General features: G+C 42.6%; 1 protein-coding gene and 1 long non-coding RNA gene across 5 annotated transcripts in view, besides 1 other annotated feature; both read left to right on the forward strand.

Annotated features, from left to right (window-relative positions):
- The window catches only part of SMOC2 (SPARC related modular calcium binding 2), a 226,809-nt gene that overhangs the window by 20,449 nt on the left and 179,164 nt on the right, over positions 1-27,196 (forward strand). The window lies entirely within an intron of this gene.
- Positions 8,015-9,214: an enhancer, noted in NCBI's record as "CDK7 strongly-dependent group 2 enhancer chr6:168870327-168871526 (GRCh37/hg19 assembly coordinates)". NCBI's record gives its function as "activates an origin of replication core promoter dependent on BRD2, BRD4, P300/CBP, MED14 and CDK7 cofactors, with strong dependence on CDK7, by STARR-seq in HCT116 cells {active_cell/tissue: HCT116}" and the evidence as "EXISTENCE:reporter gene assay evidence [ECO:0000049][PMID:35650434]".
- Positions 9,026-18,800, forward strand: LOC124901466 (uncharacterized). Its single transcript, XR_007059884.1, has 2 exons — positions 9,026-17,497; positions 17,573-18,800. It is a non-coding gene; the product is annotated as an uncharacterized LOC124901466 (long non-coding RNA).

Here is a 27,196-nt window from a genome sequence, read left to right on the forward strand (position 1 = left end):
TTTCGGATGTTAATTAAAATCTTGACTCTAGTAGCACATTCAGTCGGGTCAAGCGTCACTATTTGACATAAATGGAGACATCTGGCTGTCACCCAAGTTTGATAAGCTGAATACCCATGCAGATGAGGCAGCCGTGCTAGAAACACCACTCTATTACGCCTAGTGGCATTTCCCTACCCATATTGTTACAATGGTGCTCATGTCCTATGAATTTTTTTTTCAGGGCTGCTATTATTTGAGAAGCTGTGATATTTTAAGTCAAGGATACGATGTGCATCACTAGGCTCACGTGGCAATGGGATGATGCCTTAGTGTCTTAGCCCGTCTGACTGTCACTAACACTTTCTCTCCCTTTCTCATAGTTTCTACTGGAGGAGGGCTCTTTATTTTTTTATTTTTTATTTATCAGTTTTTTTTGAGGAGGGCTCTTTATGGTGGGCCTCCTTGTCCAGATCAACTGAGAGTAATGAGCTGTGCTCTTTCCCCATCCTGCCCATCCTCTGATTTCTTCCCTTAACTTTGAGGCACACTTTTTCATTACTGAGTGATTTAGATCCCTAGAACCCATCAGTTTAGCTTGCTTTTAGGACACAGGGATTCCAGTTCTGTGAAGTGTAATGAAGACTATGTCCGTATTCTGAAGTTCATGCTAAGCTATGACAGATTGTCCTGGGGGAAGTTTGACTTTTGCAATGAAGCTGCAATGAGGTTGTAAACATGTCCTTGTTGGAACTGCCTGAGTCTGTATGTTGAATTATCGTTTCCCGGCATCCTGCTGGGGCTCGGCCTCCCTATCTTCCCAGGTCCTTCCAGCTCAGCCCCCTCTTTAAAGTTTTCCCAGCTCTCGAAGGTCCGGCTGCTGCTCCAGGAGGGTGGTCCCCTGTCCTCCCAGCAGGTCCCACATGACCAAGACCTCGTCTCTGTGGTGCTGGAATTCCCAGATGTCTCATGGGCTCCATTTGGTGCTCTCCAGTGGTGGCTTATGATGAATGACACGAAGTCACATGACTGGAATGTTCCTCAGCAATTCAGGCTGCAAGCTTTGCAGAGATATTTAGGGAGGAAGAATAGTTAGTGACTTCAGAGGACTCAGGGAGAAAAAGGGTTTGGGCTGAGAGTCTCCATGTGTCGAGGTGGTGCATCTCTTTAGGAAGTGACTAACCTCAGGCACTTTGAGTTTGCTTTGCCAACTCTCTGTGTAGAGCTGTGTGATTTAGTGAGAGGTGGAAGGCAGAGCGGAGCCTTGGGAAGGGTGCTAAGTGGATGATCAGATGGTGAGAGGAGCTGACATTCCTGTAGTTTCTAAGATTCAAATGACCTCTATAAATGTTGGTAATTAATAATAACACACTAAAACTCTCCCAATAGGAAGGCTCCCACATTTGTTTGAGGACAATCTTTGAATCAAAAAGCGGTCCCATTCCCACAGGGGAGTTGGAGCCTGGCTTTCGTGGAGCACTTGCTCAGCGAGCCGTGGTGTGACAGGGGCTCTGCTCCCACTGGGGGCTCAGGCTCACTGAACTTCAAATGCACTGAACAAAATGAAACACAGAAGATATTAAAGTGCAGAATTGTCTTCCTAATATTAAGTAATAGACCCCCTTTTCCCGTACTTACCCCAAGGAGAATCTCATTCTCATAAATAGAAAGCGCTGGCTGTGGCGAAATCAAGGCGTTAGAAGATGATGCCTCTAGAAAGCTATCCTGAAGCAGTGTCGGGAGCTGAGCTGGCACCCGTTGCTGCGTATGTGCTGAAATACACGAGGCTCATTCCCCAGTGAGGCCTGGGAAGAAGCAGTTATTTTGAGGGGTTTGAGAGGTTACTAAAATCTGCTAGTTTTACATTTTTCAAGTAATGCATGTCGACATTTAAGGGAATTTGATAATCAGAATATGGAGGAATGTGAAGATGTGGGGAGTGATGTATCCCCAGGAGCCAGGGGAGTGTGAGAAAATGAAGTGAGACCTCTGGAAACGGAAGAAAGAAGAGTAAGGTGCGGCTGGGTAACATCCTGTGCTTACAGAGAACATTGTCCTGAGAGAAACCCTGTGCTTACAGAGAGCATCATCCTGAGAGAAGACTCTCCTAACACTTCCGGACTCCTCTCCAGAGGCAAGGTGCAGGCCCAGGCGTGTTGCTCAGGCATCATCTCTACAGGGGCACACTCCTAGGTGGGAAGAGGATTGCCCTGTAGAGACGTCGGCTGAGATGATGTCTGGAGAACTTGGATGGACTTCTCCCTTATATCACATTTTATCACCAGGATTTGAAATCTGGCCAGGTGAGGTGGCTCACACCTGTAATCCCAACACTCTGGGAGGCCTAGGCAGGTGGATCACTTAAGCCCAGGAGTTCTAAACCAGCCTGGTCAACATGGTGAATCCCCGTCTCTACTAAAATTACAAAAATTCGCCAAGTGTGGTGGTGCACGCCTATAATCCCAGCTACTTGGGAGGCTGAGGCACAAGAATCACTCGAACCTGGGAGGTGGAGGCTGCAGTGTGCTGAGATCATGCCACTGCACTCCATCCTGGGCAACAGAGCAAGACTGTCAAAAAAAAAAAAAAAAGAGGAAGGAAGAAAGGAAGGAAGGAAGAAAAGGAAGGAAGGAAGAAAGGAAGGAAGGACGGACGGAAGGAAGGAAGGATGGAAGGAAGGAAGGACGGACGGAAGGAAGGAAATCTCCTTCCACTTGGCTACTCGGATAATAGCTCTGGAGACTGGCTTTTGGATGACGCTCCATAACAATTAGCTGACAGTGACGCTGTGCCATCACTATCTGCCAGGAGGGCAGCCTGTCCGGTGCCATTCCTGGATGTATTATTTCCACTGTGAAAGGGTAGACAGGTTCTCCAATAAGAAAAAAACATTTTGGGATCAAGTGATTGGTTCAGTTATAATCAGTTTCATGAATATTCAATTAGGATTTTCATTTTTTTTTTTTAACATACTTTCTGCATCTAAGGCTCAGAAACCAAAATGCCAGAATCAACTATGGTAGTATTTCCACTAAGCCACAAATGGATAACTCCAAACATATCATGTGCCACAGCCTTTTAAACATTTTTATCGTTGAATGTGTAAATAGTAATGTTTTGAAGGTTTCCAGATTTCTCTCCAGATTGTGCTAGTTAACTTCATTCTGCCGTCATAGAACAATTAAACAGAAGCATTTGGGAGAGGAATAAAAAAAGTGCCAGGGAGGAACATTGTAAGTCAGACGGCAGGTGCAGAAGTGCCCTGGAAACCTGAGGCAGAAACTCACCTGGCCGCACAGTGCCTGGGCCTTCCAGGGGTGGCTCCAGGTGGGTGGAAGCACCAGTGTCTGAGAAGCTCCGGAGGCTCCACAGACTGCAGGGCAGCCCTGCCCCAGAGAGTGAGTGACTTACGTCCAGGAGCGGCCCCACCTTGCCCCACACAGACCTTCTTGGCCAGAGTTGGCCCCTGCCCCATGGAAGGAAGGGAACCTGCCCAGCGGTTGTCTGCTGCCTTGTTTAATCCATCACTGGTTGCCAAGGCTTCAACACACACATTCCTTTCTCTTTTTAACAACAAAATGAATCTCTTTGTTTTTGTTTCTATATTTTTCACTCAGTGGAATAGGCCTCCATCCTGCCGCTGCTTTCTGTGGTCTTTTCTTTCTTTTAAACCCTTGGTTATAGATAGAACGTTGTCCTTTACACTTAAGCTCTACATGATAAGAGCAAACTTAAGGCACTTTTGTTTCCTCCAAAATTTCCGGGCTCTTCATGAAGAGATTTTTCTCGAATGGTCAAGATTTAGATGAAACTTAGGAACACACAGTTCTCTGCTAAGAAGCCATCAGATCAGCCGGAAAAAAAAAAAAGAAAAAAGAAAGACTTTTAGAAATTGCTATGTGAGACAGTAGGAATCATTCTGGGTGCAGGTGGACAAATTACTGTATTTGTGATTGTTAAAAATGCTACTTCTTTTTTTTTTGCCAAGAGATTTTACGAAAGTGACATAGTTTGTGAAAGCCAAATAGGGAATCAGATGAAACTGGGGAGCTCTGGATGAAGCGAGGTGCTGCTCTGAGAGCTGGAACTGGGGGCTCTGGATGAAGCGAGGTGCTGCTCTGAGAGCTGGAACTGGGGGGCTCTGGATGAAGCGAGGTGCTGCTCTGAGAGCTGGAACTGGGGGCTCTGGATGAAGTGAGGTGCTGCTCTGAGAGCTGGAACTGGGGGGCTCTGGATGAAGCGACGTGCTGCTCTGAGAGCTGGAACTGGGGGGCTCTGGATGAAGCGGCATGCTGCTCTGAGAGCTGGAACTGGGGGGCTCTGGATGAAGCGAGGTGCTGCTCTGAGAGCTGGAACTGGGGGGCTCTGGATGAAGCGACGTGCTGCTCTGAGAGCTGGAACTGGGGGGCTCTGGATGAAGCGACGTGCTGCTCTGAGAGCTGGAACTGGGGGGCTCTGGATGAAGCGAGGTGCTGCTCTGAGAGCTGGAACTGGGGGGCTCTGGATGAAGCGAGGTGCTACTCTGAGAGCTGGAACTGGGAGGCTCTGGATGAAGCAAGGTGCTCTGAGAGCTGGAACATTGGGGGCTCTGAATGAGTTGAAGCACTGCTTTGAAAGCTGAAACTGGGGTGCTCTGGATGAAGCGAGGTGCTGCTCTGAGAGCTGGAACTGGGGGGCTCTGAGTGGAAGCACTGCTTTGAAAACTGGAACTGGGGTGCTCTGGATGAAGCCAGGTGCTGCTCTGAGAGCTGGAACTGGGGTGCTCTGGATGCCGCTCCCACAGCTGGAGTCCTGCTCTCGTGCCCTGCTCCAGGGGCTCCTCTAGGGCAGATCAGCCGCTTCTGTGGGTTGGTGGTGGGGGAAGGGTTGAGAGACACTTGGGCAGCATTGGAGGGGGCATTCATTGTCAGGCCACTGCCTGCTGGATCAGGAGATGAGGAGGTCACTTCCAACTTTCTCCCTTTGCTCTTCTCAGTTGTAGTGAGTTTCCAAAAATCTCAAGAAAAACAGCATATTTGTCATAGTATTTGTGCATGCGCTTTGTCTGGGCTTTCTGCATCTGTCCCAGAGGACGAATTCTTCAAAACCCCAGCTCCACGAAGGGTGCACCTGCAACATGTTTATTTCCATGTCGGCCAAGGCCGGTGGAGGGAGGAAGCGGGATGGGGAGAAGCGCCAAAAGTCAAAGTCATCCTGGACGCTTGGTTTCTCCCGGATGTTTCAGCAGGGCCAAGGAATGGTGAATAGCCCGGTGGGGCGGTAAATCCCAAGCCGCTTCTCCAACATTCCTTTTGGAAAAGGGAGCTGTGTCTTCCGTTCCCTTGTCTACTCTGAGCTCTGCCCACAGGATGCTGGGCAGGGCTGCGCCATTGCAGCCACATCCTGCGGTCGGGCGAAGGGACAGGCTCCCCACAAGCAGCGCCGTGCTGGTCATGTCATGGGTGGGAACTCCACGTTTCGGGAGCTGCAGCACTTCTGCCGTCCAGACTGCAGTGGGAGTGTGCTTAACAAATCAGTGCTCTCAAACACACACACACACACACACACACACACACACACACACACACACACGTTTATTTCGAGACAGGGTCCTGCTCTGTTGCTCAGGCTGGAGTGCACTGGCGGCAAAACAGCTCACTGTAGCCTTGAACTCCTGGGCTCAACACTTGGGGGACATGCACCACCACACCCTGCTAAGGTTTTTTTTTTTTCAGAGATGGAGTCTCGCCCTGTCGCCCAGGCTGGAGTGCAGTGGAGCAATCTCATCTCACTGCAACCTCCACCTCCTGGTTTCAAGCGATTCTCCTGCCTCAGCTTCCCGAATAGCTGGGACTACAGGTGCACACCACCACACCCGGCTAATTTTTTTTGTATTTTTAGTAGAGATGGGGTTTCATTGTGTTAGCCAAGATGGTCTCTATCTCCTGACCTCGTGATCCACCCGCCTCGGCCTCCCAAAGTGCTGGGATTACAGGCATGAGCCACCGCTTCTGGCCCAACCTGCTAATTTTTAAAAATGTTTTTGTAGAGATGGGATCTTACTATGTTGCCCAGGCGGATCTCAAACTCCTGGGCTCAGGCAATCTTCCCCCTAAAAATTACATTTTTGACCAGGGTGAATTTTATGGTATGTGAAATAGATTTCACTAAAGCCATACCAAATTATATTTTTATGTGAGATGTCCTATTGAGTTTATTCGGTTACTTTTCCTGTTGATCAATGATTATTTTCCTTTTGATACTCCTAGTATGCTATCCTTATATAGATTTTTTAAAATTTAATGTATTATTTGTTATGCAAAAGGATTTACAATATATGTACATATTGTATAGTTTTGTATACTATAAAACTGTAGCAAAAAGTTATCTGCAAATCTATCTACATTTCTCAGAAAGTACCAAGTGTTGTTTTGTTTTTAAAAAATAGTGGATGCATTTCACTGATAATTACCCTGTAATAAAAGTAACTCAGGGGGGCTCTGAGGTTTGTACTCTTCTTTTCTCCTTGGCTCAATGAAGGCTTTCTTGTTGAGTCAGTGTCAACAATGAGCACCATGAGGAGCTGGAGACAGACCATCCTGCTGTGCACACATGGATTTATATCGAGGGACACAGGGCGCTGCGGGTTCTTTGCTTCCCATGGTGATCGCAGCAGGTGAGGAATGTGTATGGTCAGGGCTCTGCCAGCCTTGCTGGAATTCCGGAAGCACATGTTCTAAAGTGTTGGCAGGACTTTCAGGTCAGTGATTTTCAAAACTTTGGAGCCAAGGGAATCCCCCCATTCAGAATGTGCAGATGTTCCTTAAGGAAAACCTATAACCACTCCTGCCACCACCTTCCCCCCGTCCCCCACCGACTGCCTTCTCCCTGCCATGGGCAGTGGGCACCATTTAGAAATTCTTTTGAATGCTGGTCTTGACAATGAAGGTTTTTTGTTTTTTGAGACTGAGTCTCGCTTTACCGCCCAGGCTGGGGTGCAGTGGCACGAACTCTGCACACAGCAACCTCCACCTCCCGGGTTCAAGCGATTCTCGTGCCTCAGCCTCCCGAGTAGCTGGGATTACAGGTGTTTGCCACCACACCTGGCCAATTTTTGTATTTTTGTAGAGACGGGGTTTCACCATGTTGGCCAGGCTGGTCTCAAACTCCTGACCCCAGATGATCTGCCCACCTCAGCCTCTGAAAGTGCTGGGATTACAGACCTGAGCCACCACACCCGGAGGATTATGAAGGTTTTATTTGTAAAGCTCATTTCTGCAACTCTCAGTAATGTCTTTAAATAGTGGTTTAATACGTTAAGCAGTTTTATCCATAATTCTGTTTCTTTTCGTCTCAAGAAGAAACTCTAGAAGCAGCACGCATACAGACATCAGGTGATACAAGCTGGCATTTTGGGATTACTTATCTAAGGCAGGTCTGGCTAACCTTGGCTGATGGATCCAATGGTGTTTCTCTCACAGTCACTTCTTCCTGTTCTTGTTTCTAATGGGTCAGACCCAGCTGTGGCACTGGCCAACATGGCCCTTCTGTTCTTACTCCAAGAGTCCTTGCCCTGATGAAAGGGGCTGGTTCTCATCAGGCTCCTCACTGGTAAAAAGAGATAAGAGCCAGTCCTTCCAGGGCCTTGCCACTGCTCCCTGAAGGAAACCTGTTGGGAAGGAGCGGTTTCAGTCATGGTGGAACCCCTGGAGGGTCTCAGATTCTTACTCTTTGCAACTTCCTAACGGAGCAGTGCTTTCGCCCGAGGAAAGTTTGGCAAAACTGAAAGGAGGGACAGGCTTTGCTAGGGGTAATTTAGTGTGTTTTGTAAACGGATAGGGGTTCACTAGTTTATATAAACATGCAGACTTGGTTGGTTGAACTTCAGGGATCAATAGAATTCAGAGGGTCAGGGTTTGAATACAGAAGCAATTTTGTAAATCTTTCTGTTCGTAAATGGTGTCCTGAAATCAATAAACTTTAGCAATTCAAATCATCGTGCAAACCCAGGCTTGTACGGAAAGCCAAATCACAAGCCTCTGCTTCTCCACCAGCAGAGCTGCTCGGAGCCGATGACATTTGCAGAGACTGACCACATGGCCAGCAGAGCTGGTCGGAGCCGATGACTTTTGCAGAGACTGACCACATGGCCAGCAGTGCCAAGAGGTCCCACGTGCAGCCTCGTTAGGAGTGCGTCCTCACCGCTGCAGCCTCGTTAGGAGTGCTCCCTCACTGCTTCAAGATGTCCAGTGGAAATTTCCACTCCATTCGGTGATATTGTGCATTTGTCTTTCTCGTTGTCTTGGGTTGGAAGACTAAATTAGAAACAATAATTTTCTCTAAGTTTTATCTGCTCACAGAAAATACATATGAAATTTAAAATATATTCATTTTCCCAAAATTGGCCTTTATAAGTGACTGTGTGCTTCAGTGCAGAATTCCTTCTGCTGTGAGCCAAGGCTAATCTCCATCACAATTGCCCACAAGGCTGGATAAAAGTGCGATTTGGATCCTCTCTTGAGCCCCTGCTCCAGAATCTACAGGGCGGAGCCGGAACATGCTTTGTTCTAAAGTGTGGCTTTGTGGTGATCCTCCTGCACTTTGAGGTCTCAGAATCACAGTCTCAGTCTGCCAGTATCAGTCTCTGCTGTGAGTCCTTTTGGACATAGTTTCCTACTCTTTCCGTTATAAAGCGTCTTCACATTTTAATGAAAAAATACCTGTTGTTAGTGAAGCTATTTTGTGGTATATATTTGTAATAATTAATTTCCTTAAAAAACCCAATTTTTAAACTGGGTCTCCTGGTCAAGCGCAGTGGCTCATGCCTGTAATCCCAGCAGTCTGAGAGGCCGAGTCGGTGGGCTGCTTGAGTTCAAGAGTTTGAGACCAGCCTGGGCAACATGATGAAACCCTGTCTCTACCAAAAATACAAAAAATTAACCAGGTGTTAGTGGCTCATGTCTGTAGTCCTAGCAACTTAGGAGGCTGAGGTGGGAGGATCACTTGAACCCAGGAGGCTGAGGTTGCAGTGAGCTGAGATAGTGCCCCTGCACTCCAGTCTGGGTGACAGAGCAGGACTCCATCTGAAAAAAGTAAAATTAAATAAATAAAAATTAAATTAAATTAAATAAACTGGGTATCCTGTGACATTACTTTGTTCTATGTTTAAACAAGGATAATTATGTTTTTAAAAAAGGATTTCTATTCCAGGGTTCCATGGAATAGAAATTTGTTTCTTAATGAAGTCATATTTGACACATCCAAAGCCACAGATGCCAAAACATTGATAATTAAAGAGAAGTATAGATTTTCTTCACTGTCATTTGAGGCATTTCCAGAATAATTTTTACCCAAACATGAAACAAATAAGGAATATCAAATGTGAGATGCTGAGAGTTTCTTATATATAAATTTTATTACATCTGCTAAATTTTGTAATATTGTTGTAATTCATGAAACATTTTTAATTGAAGTAAAATACACACACAGTTTATCATCTTAACCATTTTTAAAAATCGTAAGCATTTTAAGTGTGTGGCTGAGTTCTGTTTTAAGGAGATATAACTGTCGCACAACCGATATCCAGAACTTTTTCAACTGGCAAAACCGAAACTTGACCCGTTTATCTCAGCCCAGCCCTAGTAGCCACCATTCTACTTTCTGTCTCTATCAGTTTGCTCCGAGAATTCTATCAATCTGTCTTTATTAATTCTGCTCTAAGTACCTCATATATGTAGAATCATGCAGTAGTGGTCTTTTTGTGACAGGCTTACTTCACCTGGCATAATGGCCTCAAGGTTCATTCATGCGGTAACATAGTTCAGCATTTCCTTCTTTTCCAAGGCTGAGTAATATTCTATTGTATGCATACACCACCTTTAGCTTATGCCTTCATCTGTCCGTGGATACTTGGGCTAATGCTGCTATGGACATGAGTATCTCTTCAACACCTTGCTTTCAGTTCTCACGGATATATACATGGAAGTTGAATTGCTGGATCAAATGGTTACTTTTACTTTTTCAAGAAACCACCGTATTATTTTCCATAGTGCCTATATCATTTTATATTCCCACCAGAATATACAAGGACTCTGTTTTCTTCACATTCTCACCAACACTTGTTATTTCTGTGTTTCTTTCTCTTTTTTATTTGTCTATGTATGTATGTATTTATTTTTGGATAGTGCCATCCTGATGGGTTGGGTGTGATTGCTCATTGGAAGGTTTTCATTTTTATTTCCCTAATGAGTAATGATGTTGAGCATCTTTTCTTATTCAAGTCCTGTGCCCATTTTTCAATTGGGTTATTTTTGTTGTTGTTGACTTGTATAAGTTCTTTGCATATTCTGGATAGCAGTTGCTTTTTCAGATACATGATTTGCAAGTATTTTCTCCCACTCCGTGTGTGCGTTTCCACTCTGATGACGGTGTCATTTGATGCACAGAAGTTTTACATTTTGATGCAGTCCAGTTTATCCATTTTTCCTGCTATGGCTTGTGCTTTTGGGGTCATAGCCAGGAAATCATTGCCAAAGCCAATGTCAAGATATTTTCCTCCATGTTTTCTTCTAGGAATTTTATAGTTTTGAGTCTTAGGTTTAGGTCTTTGATCCATTTTGAGTTAATTTTTGTCTGTGGTGTTAGGTAAGGGTCCAACTTCGTTGTTTTGCATGTGGATACCCAGTTTTCCGAATACCAGCTGTTGAAGAGACTGTCCCTTCCCCCAGTGAATGGTCTTGCCATCATTACTGAAAATCATTTGCCTGTATATGTAAGAGCTTATTTCTGGCACTTCTACTCTATTCTATTGGTGTATATATTTATTTTTATGCCCTCTTCCACTATCACCTGGCCATTGCCCAACACTGCAATTAACAATTTTTAAATTGCTCCCTTAACAAAAAAAGTTTTTTTAAAAGACATTTTTTAAAAAGTATTGGAGATTGTAGGATGGGCAGCAGACTCTCATCTTTGAATTATGAGTGTGGCTGCTTAAGGTAACAATGTCACATGTTTATTCTGATAAGACTTTCCGTGTTGCTGCAATATTAAAATGCTATTGCTTTTGGACATCTTGAGTCTTTAGTAAAATTATCATCCTCTTGCAAATTGTTGGGAATGCAGGCATTTTTTCCCCTCCAAGGCATAATTAGGACACATTGCAGAAGAAAGTTAGATTTTTTAGAATCAATTTTTTTCTTTTCATATTTTACTAATACTATAGGGGAAATGGGGAAATGCTATTTCTCATTCAAAAGCACTGCACTGGAGCATCGTGATGTTTTGAAGCTCTCTCCTCACCTCCTCCCACACTGTTTGGTGCTCAGTCTTCTTTCCATCAGAATCATTGCTGATGGATGCGTCTGTGATGCTACAGCACCGGGGAAGGCTCCGATTCATACAAACCCTCTTCCACTGTCCCCTGGCCATTGCCCAACACTGCAAAATCCTTTGTCCTTTGGCTGAGCAGCCCTTTGGTGTGTTAAGATGAAGAGTACGATTGTAAATTCAACCTCCACCCCTGAAGGTGACTACAGTTTGGATGCTGCCCCAGGGCAGAATTCCAGTGGACAGAGCAGGGAGTGGGATCAGGGCTGAGACCACTGAGACCTTCCTGGGTGAGGCAGATGCCTGGAGCAGGGTGGCCAGAAAGTGGATCTCCCTACATGTTTATAAGATTCTGGCATTACTGAAGGGTATTGAATGGCTCGAAAGTTCAAGCCCTCCAGGCACAGCAGGGACTGCGGGCACTGCCAGGTGTCATGGCCCAATTGGCATTGCTCAGGTCCTTTCCCTGCAGCACCGCCCTTACCTGCCACCTGTGTGCCCTGTGGTCTTACCTGCCACCTGTGTGCCCTGCGGTGAGCCTGTGAAACGATACTGTTACCTTCTCTCACTTCCTTGATGCCTGTTGCTTATTCTCTTGAAGGAGCATGGTGCAGGTCTGGATTCTACCTGAAACGTCTCCAGGTGACTGTGTGGGCAGGACTTTTGGAAGCGCATTGAACTCCAGGTGACAGAGAAGACCAGCGACTCTGTCTTTGTTAGAAACAGACCAAAACTTGAGAATTTGGTGCAGGCCGTCCTTGTCATCCCTACTTGGGAGAGGAATAGTTAGGGCTGAAACAGGTCACCGTAACTGATGAGGGCACAGTCTATGCAAAGCCAGTGCTGCCAAGGAAAGTGTCTTCTCACAAGCAAGACTCCTTTGGCACTAGTGTCTTGTGTGTCTCAGTGGGTGTGAGCGTGTGTGTGAGGAAGGAGGGCAGGGGGCTGCTGCCTGTTGGGACAGCACGGCATGTGTGCTGCAAATTAATGGGATCTGGAGCCTGGAGACAGAGTCTTGTCCCTTCCCAGCTATATGACGTTAGGCAGATCACTGACCTTACCACATCTCAGTCCCTTCTAAATCCAGGACTTAGCATAACAACCCATTCGCCTCTCCACTCTCCACGCAGGCTTGTGTGAGGGCTCAGTGTAGTGGTGGGATTTTGTTCTTTCCTCTGTTCATCCGTGCATTGATGGATTGCTTCATTCAATAGTGAGCATTTAGCACAGGTGGGGAGGAAAGCCCCCTGGGGAAGGAGCACAGACCCGATCCTGGCTTCCTACAGCTCGCAGGTTCCTGCACGTTTTATGGGGGAGGCCAATACTGAGCATCTGCTCTGTGCACCTGTGCATAAGGGGGAGGGACGATAAGGGCTGCATTGACCTAGAGCTGCCAGCTGGGCTGGGGCTTCCTGGGGCACCTTTCACAGTGCCCCGCTCCTCCTTCCAGCATTTCCTGCTGCCCTTTGCTGATTCCACCCTCTCGTGATTTTGTTCCACTGATGGGTCCATTTCAGCCTCCTTTCCAGGCTCCAGCTCCTGCGTCTGAGCTCTCTCTGCTGGTGTGGTCTGGCCGCTTGGTTCTGGCCTCTCTGTCCTCTCTCTACAAGCTCTCTGTCAGTAATGCCGCTATGTCCCTGCCTTTAAATACTATTTGTGCTTGATAATTTACAAACGTGTCTGTCCACTGAAACCTCCGGAGACGTATACAACTGCCTCCTTGATAGCGCCACAGCCAAGACCACCAGGCACAGCTGCGCAGGCTGTGCACTGCACAACTCCAGGGGCATCGTTGATACACACGGTAAAGCACAGTGACGAGCCCAGCAGAACAGGGTAGGACACGACAGTTATTGCTGCTGATGTTCTGTGTAGAAAACGTGTAACAAATGACACGTCCTTAACCTTTTGAGGCATTTATATTACTCCGTATTTGGATACTGAAGTGCCATAAAGAGGTTTTGACTGCTAAACTACAGTTTCATACTTATGGGGATGCATTTGTGATTCCTTTATGTTTGTAAGTGATACCATACTGCTGACTACCTAGAAAGCTTCTCATCTAGAACTAAGGATTCCGATACATTTTTGAGGAGAAAGAAGAAAAAAGAATGTAAGGTCGTTGTGGCTGTAGCTTCAGAATAGATCCCTTTATGGTAGGTCAGCACTCATGCCATACACTCTTGTCAGCTGGTTTCTCATTTTAGGAAACCACGGTCTAGTGAGGAGTTTGGAATCGGGAAGATGAGTTCAAATGCCAGCCCTGCTGTGGGTGATCTGGGGCTCGTTGGCCTCACCCTTGCTTTGGAGAAGCTAAACTTTGAAGTGTGTGGAAGGCAGCTTGGATAGTCCTGGCATGTTTGATGGATGTCACATTTCAATGCCTTTCCTTCCTCTTCTCTGTGGACGTAGATTAAATTCACTCTCATTTATTCCTGAAGCATTTGGAGAGCAGGTGCCAATGTCCCAGGCACAGGTGGAAACACGTGGTGCGTACAACCTTGCTCAATCCCTCCCCCACCCCACCAGGTCGTGATCCCTGAGGGAAGCATGGTCTCATGCGGGCTCTGAGCAAGACGGGTGAGATGTTCTGTAAACCTGTGGCAGGCTGGGGAGAGGAGGCCATGGCCAGCGTTGCCTTGGGGGACAGGGCATGAAGGCACATGGGTCTGGAAGGCAGTGTCAGGACTGAGACAGGAGGGTGAGTCCAGAGCGGGGACAGAGGACGAGAACTGAGACCTGCTTCCCACGCGTCTGTGGCCCAGGGAGGCCACGTGTGAGACCTGGTGTGGGTCGAGGACACTGCTCGGCGTTAGAAGAAGAAGTAGTGAAGGGCAGTATTGGTGGAATAGGCAGGAGAGGGAGACAACGTCTCCGGAGCCAGTGGGTGGGAGCCGCAGGGCTGGGCAGTGGGCACAGGTGCCAAGGGGAATGGGGTCAGGGTTCTCCAGGCGTGGGCTTCACGGGGGTCTGTGTCGTTAACTGAGGGGCAGGCAGGAGCAGGTGGACCAGGAGGCGTGGAAGGGCTGAGGTTTGCTAACCGTAGTCCACTTGGGACCTTCCCACACGTGGTCTCCCAGAACCATTCCGGTCTCACAGGTACAGAGATGAGGTTGGAGAGGTTTTAGGAAGTCACCCAATAACACACAAGCGTAAAAAGATAGAACCAGGATTTAATATATTGATTTCTGATTCAAACTCTATTTTTATTTTAACCATCTCCAACTGTGCAGAGGCAGTTGGGAAATACATGAGAGTCTTGGCTGCACTTTAGATTTGGGAGTTAACAGATATGGCGGAAATAACTATGATGGGAGTGTTTTTGACCCACAATTTTCGTGATATATAGTTAATCAATCACTCACTAGTTAATCACTGAGTAGACGAGAAAGTGATGTCTAACCCTATTTGAAGAGAACATGGCAGTTTCTGTTTTTCACTGGGTGTTTGGTGTATTTACTTTTTGCTATTGTTTTCCTGTAATATCACTACTAAGAGATTAAACATTTAGAGTTTTGCAGTACTGAGCAGTTGGCAATCTTTTATCCTGTGTGTGTGTGTGTATGTGTGTGTGTGTGTGTCTATGTATGGTATACATAAAATTGGGGTCATATTCTATATTTGTATTTTAAAATATTTTGTTTGAAAATATATAACAGATATTTTCTATGGTTTTTACATGATTTTAAATGAGCTGGTACTTTAATATATATAGATGTGTGTGTGTACATACATACATATATATTTATAATAATTTAGCCAAACTCTTACTGTCGACATTTAATTTTAAAATTTACTTTACTACTAAAAATAATATTGCAGAGAACAACATTGTACATAATAATTTATGTGCATTTCTGATTTTTTCTTCACATATATTTTGGATGTGAAATTGTTGGGTCAAGAGTTATCAACACTTCAAGGGATTTTAATACATATTATAGAATTAGCGTTTCTGCATGTATGAAACATTTGGAACTGCTTGGAGCACGTCACTCCTTCAAGTTGAGCATCAGCAACTTTATTTCCCTTGGTTCTCCATCTAAGAGCCTACATTCATCATAGACGTTTGTGTGCAATAACACCAATGGTTCCAAACCTTTAACCAAAGCTGGACGAAATTAGAATACTTTTGAGTCCCAATTAAGGTTGGTTAACTTTAAAAGCTGCAGTCGATGTAGTTTCATTTTCATGTGGGTCTGCACTTTTCAAACCTTGGTGTCAACTAGGAACAGATGGGCTCAGATCCTGAAAGAACAGCCTTTCCTGTGGACACTCCAGCCCATGCTAAAGACAAAATTGAGAATTGCTCAGATAGATATCCAAACCTCAAGCCTGTGTGAGGACTGCACATTTGAGATCAGCAACCGCAACCTCATGCCCACACTGGCTGGCCCTGATGCATGTCTCTGAGATCCCAAATCTTACTCTTTACCTTTTCAGTTTTCAGAGCATGAAAAGGTATATTTGGGCTTGTAACATGGTCCTGAGTCATTACATGTGTGTTTAAATGGACTCCTAATTATTTATCTTTCTCCTGGAAAGTATGACCAATTGGTATTTTTTATAACCTCTATTTTCTACTAAGAGAATTGACAAGTACAGAGGAAAGTTCTGGACATATAACAGAGCCCTTTCTCTTTCTTTCGTGGACAGCTCAAGTCCTAAACGGAAAATGATGATGGAGCAAGAGAGATGTGTGATGAAGCAGGGTTGTTTCTTATTGTCTGTGCGCCCTCACTGTTTGCTGTTGTATAACACCTTGGTGTGTGTGTGTTGGGGCGGTGGGTTGTAGGGGGAGTCAGAACAGGAGGTGGGGAAAGTACTTTGGATGCGGTGCTCTAAAGAACCATCCCCTAATGTGCTTGACTTTTAGGGATCTACTGGGGATGAAAGCCAAAAATACACAACAAAAGTAAAGTACAATTCTGCAGCACTGCGTATTCTACAAAGCATTTTCTCATTCCGCGACCCACTCGATTCTTCTTACGACCCAGTGAAGGTGGGATTACTGTCCCTAGCTTCTCCAGGAGAAAACTGCTCATAAAGGTCTTCTCCTTACCCTGCTAACTTCCCTTTTATCCACCAGAGGTACCCCGAGCATGTAGGATATTCATTAGTCTTTGTTGTAAGGACCTAAGGCATGCCATGCTCTGACAGTCCCTTTACCCTTGAAGGGAAGTGGGGCCATTTCATCTTGACACCTTAAATGCCAGCTGTGAGCTCATTCCCAAACGTTAGGGTGATGTACAAGAGTCCTGGGCCGTAGTTCCTGGCCTTAAAGACCTAAAGTCCTCTTGGGAAGGTAAAGCATAGAGACTTGGGACCACAAGAGGACAGTCCAAAATGAATAGTCCAAAATGTCTCCTGGTGTAGCCAAGAAAATGATGGTGGTAGGAATTTGGCTAGAGAAAGGATAATTGTTATTGGAGTGGTAGATGATGGTATACTAGAGACAGAGTTTTAGGGAAGTCTTTAAATGTGTGGAGAATGTGCACCTGTAAGAGGAGGTCAATGTGGGTAAGCACAGCATTAGGAAATAAGGTTGGAAAATGGTAGTAAAGTAAGTATTCATTAAAAAAACAAAATAAGATGAACTGCCTGAAACAAAGATCTCCTTATGCCCAGACTTGCAGCAGGTGAGGTTGACAAGTAAGGGGTCCATTTGAGGTAAAGAACTTTCAACTCAATTTCCTCAAACAGCACAGCTTCCCAGCTTCCTTAGAGTCCCATGTGCTGCCATGGGAGAGAGACAAGTTGTGCTGGATGTGCCTAATCTCTGTCTGCTCTGTCTCAGGGAAAGGAGTCAGGAACATTGAATGATATATTGTATCTGGTCTAGAACAGCCCTGGTTGTCAGACACTGTCCTGGGGAAAGGAGTCAGGAACGTTGAATGATTCATGGTATCTGGTCTAGAACAGCCCTGGTTTACAGACCCTGTCTCGGGGAAAGGAGTCAGGAATGTTGAATGATTCATGGTATCTGGTCTAGAACAGCCCTGGTTTACAGACCCTGTCTCGGGAAAAGGAGTCAGGAACGTTGAATGATTTATGGTATCTGGTCTAGAACAGCCCTGGTTTACAGACCCTGTCTCGGGAAAAGGAGTCAGGAACGTTGAATGATTTATGGTATCTGGTCTGGAACAGCCCTGGTTTACAGACCCTGTCTCGGGAAAAGGAGTCAGGAACGTTGAATGATTTATGGTATCTGGTCTGGAACAGCCCTGGTTTACAGACCCTGTCTCGGGAAAAGGAGTCAGTAACGTTGAATGATTTATGGTATCAGGTCTAGAACAGCCCTGGGTTACAGAGAATGATTCTGCCATTGATCAGCAATTTAAGATACAATGTTCGATTTGTACTTGTGAGCATTGGGAAGACTATGTATAGGAGATCTTTTGGAAACCTGTTAAAATGTATGTATAAGCCATATTTATAAGGCATCGCTATTTTCCAGCATAAAGGGAATTAAGAAATTAAAAGTGTTAGTAGTTTGGAGGAAATAGTGGAGAAGGAAACATCAGAAATCTGTATTCCCACCTAGATAACAGTTGCACTGGCAAAATCTTTCTGATGTAACTATTTTGGAACTCTGGAGTCCATTGAAAGTTTGCGGTTTCTAGGTAAAGGCTTGGACAGTAAAGTGTGGTTAATTTGGGTTAATTTTGGCTCTAGCACAGTAGCAGCTACCCACTCTCCACCCCAACCTTGCGGTGAAAGCTGTGCACATGTTCCTGGAACAGGCTGCATGCAGTTTGTGAGAATCAGAGTGCGGAGAAAGACCCTGTCCTTCAAATATGAGGAAGCTGTGCTGTGAATGTTGATTGCAGCTGTTGATAACAGGGGTGCAGACGAAAAGGTGGTGGCTGACACTGTTGCATCTTACCCATTGTCCCAACCCTTGCCTCCCACCTCCACCAGCAGAAGTGACTTCCAAGGTATTTAAAAGGCTGGCACACTTCACCCAAAACCCTTTATTTTACTTTTTCCTCCTTGGAAGCCAGACATTAAAGACTAGGACACTCAGAAGCAACTTAATATATGGAGAGAATTAGAAAGTGACCACACATGCTCAGGGAAAGGTGCAGGCTCAGAAAAGACCTGAGAGGACCTTCATTTTACAGCTCAGTCTCATCCTTGGCACAGAGACAGCCCACAATAAGAAAAAATATATACATATATTTTAAAATTAACAACAACAAACCCCAAGCAAACCCTGGGAAAAATGAAGAATCTGACTTCAAGAGTTATCACAGTATTAAATTCAAATGTCCAGTTTTTAACAAGAAGTTACAAGGCATACAGAAAATGAGAAAATGTGGCATATTTAAAGGAAGAAAATGAATCAACAGAAAACTGTCCTTGAAAAAGACCTGATAGCAGATCTACTTGACAAACATTTGAAAACACCTGTCTTAACGATGCTCAAAGAACTAAAGAAAGATGTGGAGAAAGTAAAGAAAATAATATATGAACAAAATGAAAATGTTAATAAAGATATAGGAAACCTAAAAGAAATAAAGAAATTCTGAAGCTGGAAAGTAAAATAACTGAAATTAAAAAAATTACTAGAGGGATTCAGAGGCACATTTGAGCAGATGGAAGAAAGGATCAGCAAACTTAAAGACAGGAAAATGGAAATCACTGAGTCTGAGAAATATATTTTTTTTAATGGAAGAAAAGGCAAAAGAGACTAAGGGACCTGTGGGACAGCATCAAGTGGACCAACATACATGTTATGGGAGTCCCAGAAGTAGAAGTGAAAGAGTAAGAGGCAGAGAGAATACTTGAAGAAACATGAATATAAAGATCCAAGAAGCTCAATGTACTCTAAGAAAGTCACACAGAGACATTATGACCAAACTTTCAATAGACAAAGAGAATTTTGAAAGCAGAAAGAGAGAAGTAGCTCTCACATACAAGGATCCTCAGTAAGATTAATAGCAGATTTTTCCTCAGAAACTTTGGAGGCCAGAAAGCGGTGGGCAGATAAATTCAGGGTGCTAAAAGGAAAATCAAAAACAAAACAATCAAACTATCAACTGAGAACCCTATCTCCAGCAAAGCTGTTCTTCAAAAGTAAGGAACAGTTCAAAAATTAAGATATTCCCAGATAAAAGCTGAGGAAGTTTCTTACCAGTAAACCTTTCCTGTAAGAAATGCTAAAGGGAGTCCTGTGAGATGAAATAAAAGACACTAAATAGTAACTCAAAGCTGAATAAAGAAATAAAGATCTCAGCAAAGGTAAATACTTGTCAGTTATATAGTATCATTGTAACATGGTTTAAAACTCTACATTTTGTTTCCTACACAATTTGAGACTAATACACTTAAAGAAATTATTACTTAATGCTTCGATGTACAGAATGTATGAAGATGTGATTTTGTAACATAGTAGCAGAATGAACAGGGTAAAAAACATGATCTCAAATAGAAATAAAACAACAATCGAAAGGTAGGAACAGAGCTGCTAAAAGAACAGAGTTTTTGTATGTTATTGAAGTTAAGCTGGTATAAATTTAAATAAAAATGTTCTTATTTTAGGATGTAAAATATAATCCTCATGGTAACTAAAAACACACAAACAGCTATAGAGTATATATGAAAGGAAGTGAGAAAGAAATTTAAATGTTTCACTACAAATAGTTAACTAATCACAAAATAAGACAGGACATGCAGGAAATGAGGGACAAAGTCCTTATAAGATATGTAAGAAATAAATAGAAAAATGACCAAAGTACATCCCTTTTATCAGAAATTAATTTAAATGTAAATAGATTAATCTCTCCAATTAAAAGACAAAGACTGTCAGAATGGATAAAAAGTTTAACTATATGATGTCTACAAGAGACTTGTTTTAGATCTTATGTAACTTGTGTCTAAAGGCAAAAGTAGCTTGAAAGGAAAGAATGGAAAAAGATTCCATGCCAAAAAAATAACCAAAATAAAGTAACCAAAAACTTAGGAAATGCAGTAAAACTAGTTGTAAGGGAAAAATGTATAGCTATTAATTCTACCCTTTAAAAAAATAAGAAAAAAACCTAACTTTACAACTTGAGGAACTGAAAAATAAGAACAAGCTAAACCTAAAGCTAGCAGAAGGAACTACATAATAAAGATGAAGACAGAGATGAATGAAATAGAAAACAGAAAAATAATAGAGGAAAATTAGTGAAACAAAAAATTGGTTCTTTGAAAAGATCAATAAAATTGATAACATTTTAGCTACATAGACTAAGAAAAAAAGAGACGTTTCAAATTACTAAAATAGAAAGTGAAAGTGGGTTTTCCTAAGAAAAAGAAAGAAATAAAAGTGGGAACAGTACTACCAACTCTACAGAAATAAAAATGGATTAACAGAGATTACTAAGAATAATTATATGCTAATACATAGGATAATCTAGTTAAAATGGACAAATTCCTAGAAAAATAAAACCTACCAAGACTAACTAATGAAAAACTCTAAGTAAATTTATAACTTTTATAACATGATTGAGCCAGTGACCAAAAATCTCTGGACAGAGAAAACCTGTGGACCTCACGGCTTCACTGGTGAATTCTACCAAACTTTAAGAAATGAATGCTAATCCTTCTTGAATGATTTAAGAAGAGGGAACACTTTCTAATTCTTTGTATGAGGCCAGTATTATTCTGATTCCAATGCCAGACAAAGACACTCTAAGAAAAGGCAACTAGAGGCCAATATCCCTTATGAACATCGATGCCAAAATCTTCAACAAAATGTAGCAAACTGAATTCAGCAGCATATTAAAAGGAATATACACCATGATCATGTGGGATTTATTCCTGGAATGCAAGGATGAATCAATATGTAAAATCAATCAATGTAATACATCATAGTAACAGAATGAATAGGGTAAAAAGCGTGATCTCAATTAGATGAAGAAAGCTTTTGAGAAAACTTAACACACTTCCATGACTAAAAACTCTCAATAAACTCAGACTAGAAGGAAACTACCTCAACATAATAAAAGCCACATATGAAAAACAAAACCATTGTAAACATTATATTAAATGGTGAAAGACCACAAGTTTTTTCCCTAAGATCAGGAGTAAGGCAAGGATGCCTGCTTTCACCACTACTATTTAACATAGTACTGAAAGTTCTAGCTAGAACAATTAGGCAAGAAAAATAAATACAAATTGGAAAGGAAGGCATACACATTGGAAAGGGAGAAGTAAAATTATCTCTGTTTACAGATGATATGATTTTATGTGTTAAAAAACCCTAACAATGCTGTACACACACATACACACACACACACAAAAAAACTTGTTAGAACCAGTAAATGAATTCAGAAAAGTAGCAGGATATAGAATTAAAACACAAAAATCAATTGCACTTCTGTACACTAATGATGGACACTCTGAAAAGGAAATCATAAAAACAATTCTGTTCAAAATAATATTAAAAAGTAAAATGCTTTGGAATAATCAAATAATGTGACAGATTTGTACAATAAAAATTATAAAACATTGCCAAAAGAAGTTAAAAAAGAAGACATCAACAAATGGAAACACATCCCACGTTCATGGATCAGTATTAGTACTGCTAAGTATTAGTATTGTTAAGATGTCCATACTACTCAAAGACACATACAGATTTAACTCAATCCCTATCAAAATTCCAAAAACATTTTTTTGTATAAATAGCAAAATTCATCCTAAAATTCATGTGGAATGTCAAGGGACACTGACTAGACAAAATAATTTTTAAAAAGAACAAAACTGAGTACTCTCACTTTGTGATTTCAAATCTCATTACAAAGCTACTGTAGTCACACAGTGTGGTACTGGCATAAAGACAGATGTATAGATCAACAGAATAGAGAGCCCAGAAATAAATCATCACATCTATGCCAAATGATTTTTGACAAGAGTTCCAAGGCCATTCGTTGGAAAGAGGACAGTCTTTTCAACAAATGGCATGAGAAAACCAGGTATCTATATGCAAAAGAATGATATTGGACCTTTGCCTAACATCAGATACAATAATTAACTCAAAATGGATTAATGACCTAAAGGTAAGACCTAAAACTGTGAAACTCCTGGAAGAAAGCATAGGACAATAGCTTCACACCGTTAGATCTGGCAGTGACTTCTTGGATATGATGTCAAAGGCACAGGCAACACAAGAAAAATTGTACAAATTGGACTTTAAGAAAAATTCAAAAATTGGTGTATCAAAAGACACTATCAACACAGTACAAAGGCATCCATGGAATGAGAGAAAATATTTGTAAATCATATATCTGACAAGGGATAAATATCCGGAATATACAGAGAACTCTTAAAATTTAACAAATAAGGTACCTGATGTTTAACTTATGCAAAGGATTTGAATGGACATTTTTTTTAAAAAAAAGATACACAAATAGCCACTAAGGACATGAAAACATGCTCAGAACACATGCTTAGCATCATGGAAATGCACAGAAAAACTACAATGAGGTGCCAACCCACACCCATTATAATAGCTACTGTTTTAAAAACAGAAAATAACAAATGTTAGCAAGGATGTGGAGAAATTGGAACGTTTGTGCACTGTTGGTGGTAATATACAATGGTAAAGCTGCTGTGGAAAACAGTATGGTTGCCTCTCAAAGAATTAGAAATAGGATTACTGTATGATCCAGCAATTCCACTTCTGATTATGTACCCAATAGAACTGAAAGCAGATTCTCAAAGAGATATTTGTATACTCATTTTTATAGCAGCACTATTTACAATAATTAAAACATGGAAGTAACCCAAGAGGCCACCAGCAGATGAATAGATAAATGAAATGTGGTGTATATACATAAAAAGGAATATTATTCATCCTTAAAATGAAGAAAAATAATCCTGACACAGGCAGCAATGTGGATGAACCTTGAGGACATGATGCCGAGTGATAGAAGCCAGTCACTAAAAGGCAAACACTGTGTGATTCCACTTACAAAAGCTACTTAGAGTCAACAAAGTCATAGAGACAAAGTAGAATCTGGTGGCCAGGGGCTGGGGAAGGGGAAATGGGGAGGGAGTGTTTGATGGAGACAGGGGTTGAGCTTTACAAGTTGGAAGTGGTTCTGGAGACAGATGGTGGTGATAGTTATACAACATGATGAATGTATTTAATATCACTTAACTATGCGCTTAAAGATAGTTAAGATGGTACATTTTATGTTATATGTATTTTACCATAATACAAATAATTGAAAAAAATGAAACAGCATTTCATACACACTAGAATTAAAAAGTCAGAAAATAGCAAGTATTGACAAGGATATGGAAAAACCCTCATATAGTTTGGAGAGAAATGTAAAATTGTTCAAGTGCTTTGGAAAACAGTTTTCCAAAGTTTAATCAGAGTTCTCTTATGAACCAGTAATTCCTTTCCTAGGTGTATACCAAAAGAATTGAAAGCAAAAGTCCTAAAAAAAACACGTACATAAATGTTCACAGCAACATTATTCATAACAGCCAAAAGGTGAAATCAACCTGAATATTCATCAGCCAGTGAATGAATAAGTAAAATGCAGCCTAGTCACACAACAGAATGTTATTTGACCATAAAAAGGAATGAAGTGTTGATACACACTACAACAAGGATGAACCTCAGAAACATTATACTGAGAGTAGTTATTCACAAACGACCTCATATCATATGAGTCTCTATATAAAATGCCCAGAATAGGGAAATCTATAGAGAAAGAAAGCAGATTAATCATTTACTAGGGCTGAGGAGGTTGTGTGGAAATAGGGGCTGTGACTGCTAATAGCTATGTTTTTTTGGGGGGGAGATGATGAAAAAAATTTTAATATCGATTGTGTTAATAGTGTTGTGGAACTCTGAATAAATTTAAAACATTGAATTGTACAATTTGAATGGATGAATTGTGTGATAGGGGAATTGTATCTCAACATGCATGGATTAGTAATAAATTTCTAAACTCTCCCTTATAGGTTCCTATGACTTCATCAAATTCAAAAGTATTCTGTCTAATAGATTTATTTTGTAATGTTACGAGCAACTGCAAATATTTAACTGAGTCACAGAAAATGGTGAGAAATAGGGGCAAGGGTTATGCAATTCCTTCCTCTGCTGCTTCTCTTTTGCATCGTTGTGTACCGTTCGTACGGTTCCTGTGTATGGTATCATAATAATTTATCTTCTCTACTTCTTACTGTGGGGACTGTTTGTCTTAGTGTCCCTGGTTCAGCATGGTTTCTGGCTCACTTAAGTCAGCTGAACAAATATGAGTAAGTAAAGGAGTTGCATAGATATATAATATTGTTCCCCAAATCACTGAATACAAAGTCTAGTGGCAGAACTGGAAAAGAAAATGCTAGATGTCTAAATTCTCAAGGCAGCACTTTATCCATCCAACAGCCTTGTAGATTGAATACTCACATCATTTCCTTCTCTACACACTCTACACTGCTTCACAGAAGCTTTGCACTCCAACATTTGCAAAGGACCCACACATTCCCTTGTGCAATTGAACTCAAGAGAGAAAAAAGAAATAAAATCATGAAAGGACTGCACCATGTCTTCTCTTTGCTACTTCTTCCCCAAAATTTGTAATAAGCCATGCAGCAGAGATGGGAAGTTTGATTTGGCGTATTCTTACATGGAAGAGCGCTGTTCTTTATCACATTAATTTTGGAGTTGGCTCTGATGACCTCCCTTCCCCAAGCCAGCACTGGCTGTGAGCGCATCCAAACCGACTGCGATTCACCAATGGATCAGTAACTGTTTTGGAGGCTGATGATATGAAAACCTATCTGGCTTGTTCTGTTTGTTCACATTCTATTGTGGTTCAACGGCATTTTACAAAACAAAACAAAACAAAACATATTCTTAGTTCCAACTCTCTGCTATCCAAATCCATGTCTTCTGACTTTTCATTACCAAGTAGAAGTCCAGGGTAAGAGCTTAGCCTCCATAGGCTTGTCACTTCTTGGAAGAAAATCATAAACCAACGCATTAGTTATCTTATGCCAAGGGCTGGGCAGCATGCAGAGAGACATACTCCGTCCCCTCACTCATTAGAAGGGCCTTTGCAACCTTTTGGTGTAATGATGTCTGGCCAGGGAACTGCAGATAACATGAGAATTAAGTGACATGGCCCTCGCTGGCCTTTGGGCTCCTCTCCCAGCCTCTCCTCTGCCCTGTGGCCATCTCAGCACTCAAACGTCCCCCTGCTTCTTGTTGCTGGTTGCTCGGAAACCTTGGGTTCCAGACAAATCTTTTTCCCCGGCAAAGCTGCACCTCCACAGGGCCCCTTAAAATTCTACTTTCCCCTGTGTTCTGATCTCAGCTGCGGATGGGGAAAGCTCCAACTTAAATAAACTCACAGTGGACAGGAACGACTCATATTTGGCTTATGAATTAGTCAACTTGATTGACTACTCGTCAGGGTGATGGGCAAGGCAGTCTTTATTTCAGAATATAAGAGATGCTGTGCCAACAGTATTTGGGAATTGCTTCTATATGGTGCATTTTAGTATTTATTGAGCTATCTCATGCACCGAAAATTATCGTATGTAGGAAAGAATTAAATATTGACTTAATTTAAAAATTACCTTTTTTCTTTTTTTGAGACGGATCTTGCTCTGTTGCCCAGGTGCTGGAGTGCAGTGTGCGATCTTGACTCACTGCAACCTCCATCTCCTGGATTGAAGCGATTCTACTGCCTCAGCCTCCCAAGTAGCTAGGATTACAGGTACCCCACCATGCCTGGCTAATTTTTGTGTTTTTAGTAGAGATGGGGCTTCACCATGTTGGCCAGGGTGGTCTCAAACTCCTGACTTCAGGTGATCCACCCTCCACAGCCTCCCAAAGTACTGGGATTACAGGCATGAGCCACTGTGCCTAGCCAAAAATTACCTTTTGATTAAAAAACATACATGGCACACAATCTATACGTTGATGTAGTTCCCTTTTAAGTATTTTTTTTGGCAATTTACATGTATATTCTATATGTAAAGCAGTAAAATGCTACAATCATTCTGATTGGGGAATTTTATGTGACAGCATAGTTTATTAGTAATGGTGATTTCGAGAGCAATATTTGAGGAGGAGTATTTTACTGCTTTTCTCTCCGGTTATAGAGCAAGGCAATACATCTGCAGTCGTTCTAGGGGCTGCCCTATCACAGCACCACAAATGGGTAGCTTGAAACAGCAGAAACTTATGCTTTCCCAGTTCAGGAGGCCAGCAGTCCAAAATCTGGGTGATTGCAGGCCTGCACTCTGGGTAAAATCCCACTGGTCTCCTCTGGCCCCTGGTGCCTCCGGCACTCCTTGGCATTCCTCCGCTTGCAGATGCAGCTGTCTGCTCCCATGGCCGCTTCCCCCCATGTCTTCACATTGTCTTCCCTCTCTTCCATCTATGCCCATCTGTGTCTGTTTTCTCTTCTTATGAGGGTGCTAGTTGCATGAGTTTGCTGGACTGCTGTAACAACATACCCAGACTGGGTGGCTCAGACAGAAACTCACTCAGTTCTGGAGGGTGCAGGTGTGAGATAGTCTGTCACAGGGCAGCTCCTCCTGGGGCTGTGAAGAGCACCTGTTTCTGGCCTGTCTCCACTCCTGGCAGTCTGCAGGGTGCGTCCATCTGCTGAAAGCCAGGGCACTGTGGGTGGGAGGCAGAGAAAACTAACATTTTCGCAGGAGGCAGAGATCAGGACCCAGGTTCTCAATCGAATCGTCTGGGTCCCCTTGGATCACACTGTTTTAGAGTGGAATATATTGAGTCATCTGGGTCCCCTTGCATCACACAGTTTTAGAAGGAAATATATCAAATCGTCTGGGTCCCCTTGGATCACACTGTTTTAGAATGAAATATATCGAATCGTCTGGGTCCTCTTGGATCACACTGTTTTAGAGGGAAATATATCGAATC

This window comes from Homo sapiens, chromosome 6 (assembly GCF_000001405.40).
Source record: "Homo sapiens chromosome 6, GRCh38.p14 Primary Assembly".
In the NCBI taxonomy this organism is placed as follows: domain Eukaryota; kingdom Metazoa; phylum Chordata; class Mammalia; order Primates; family Hominidae; genus Homo; species Homo sapiens.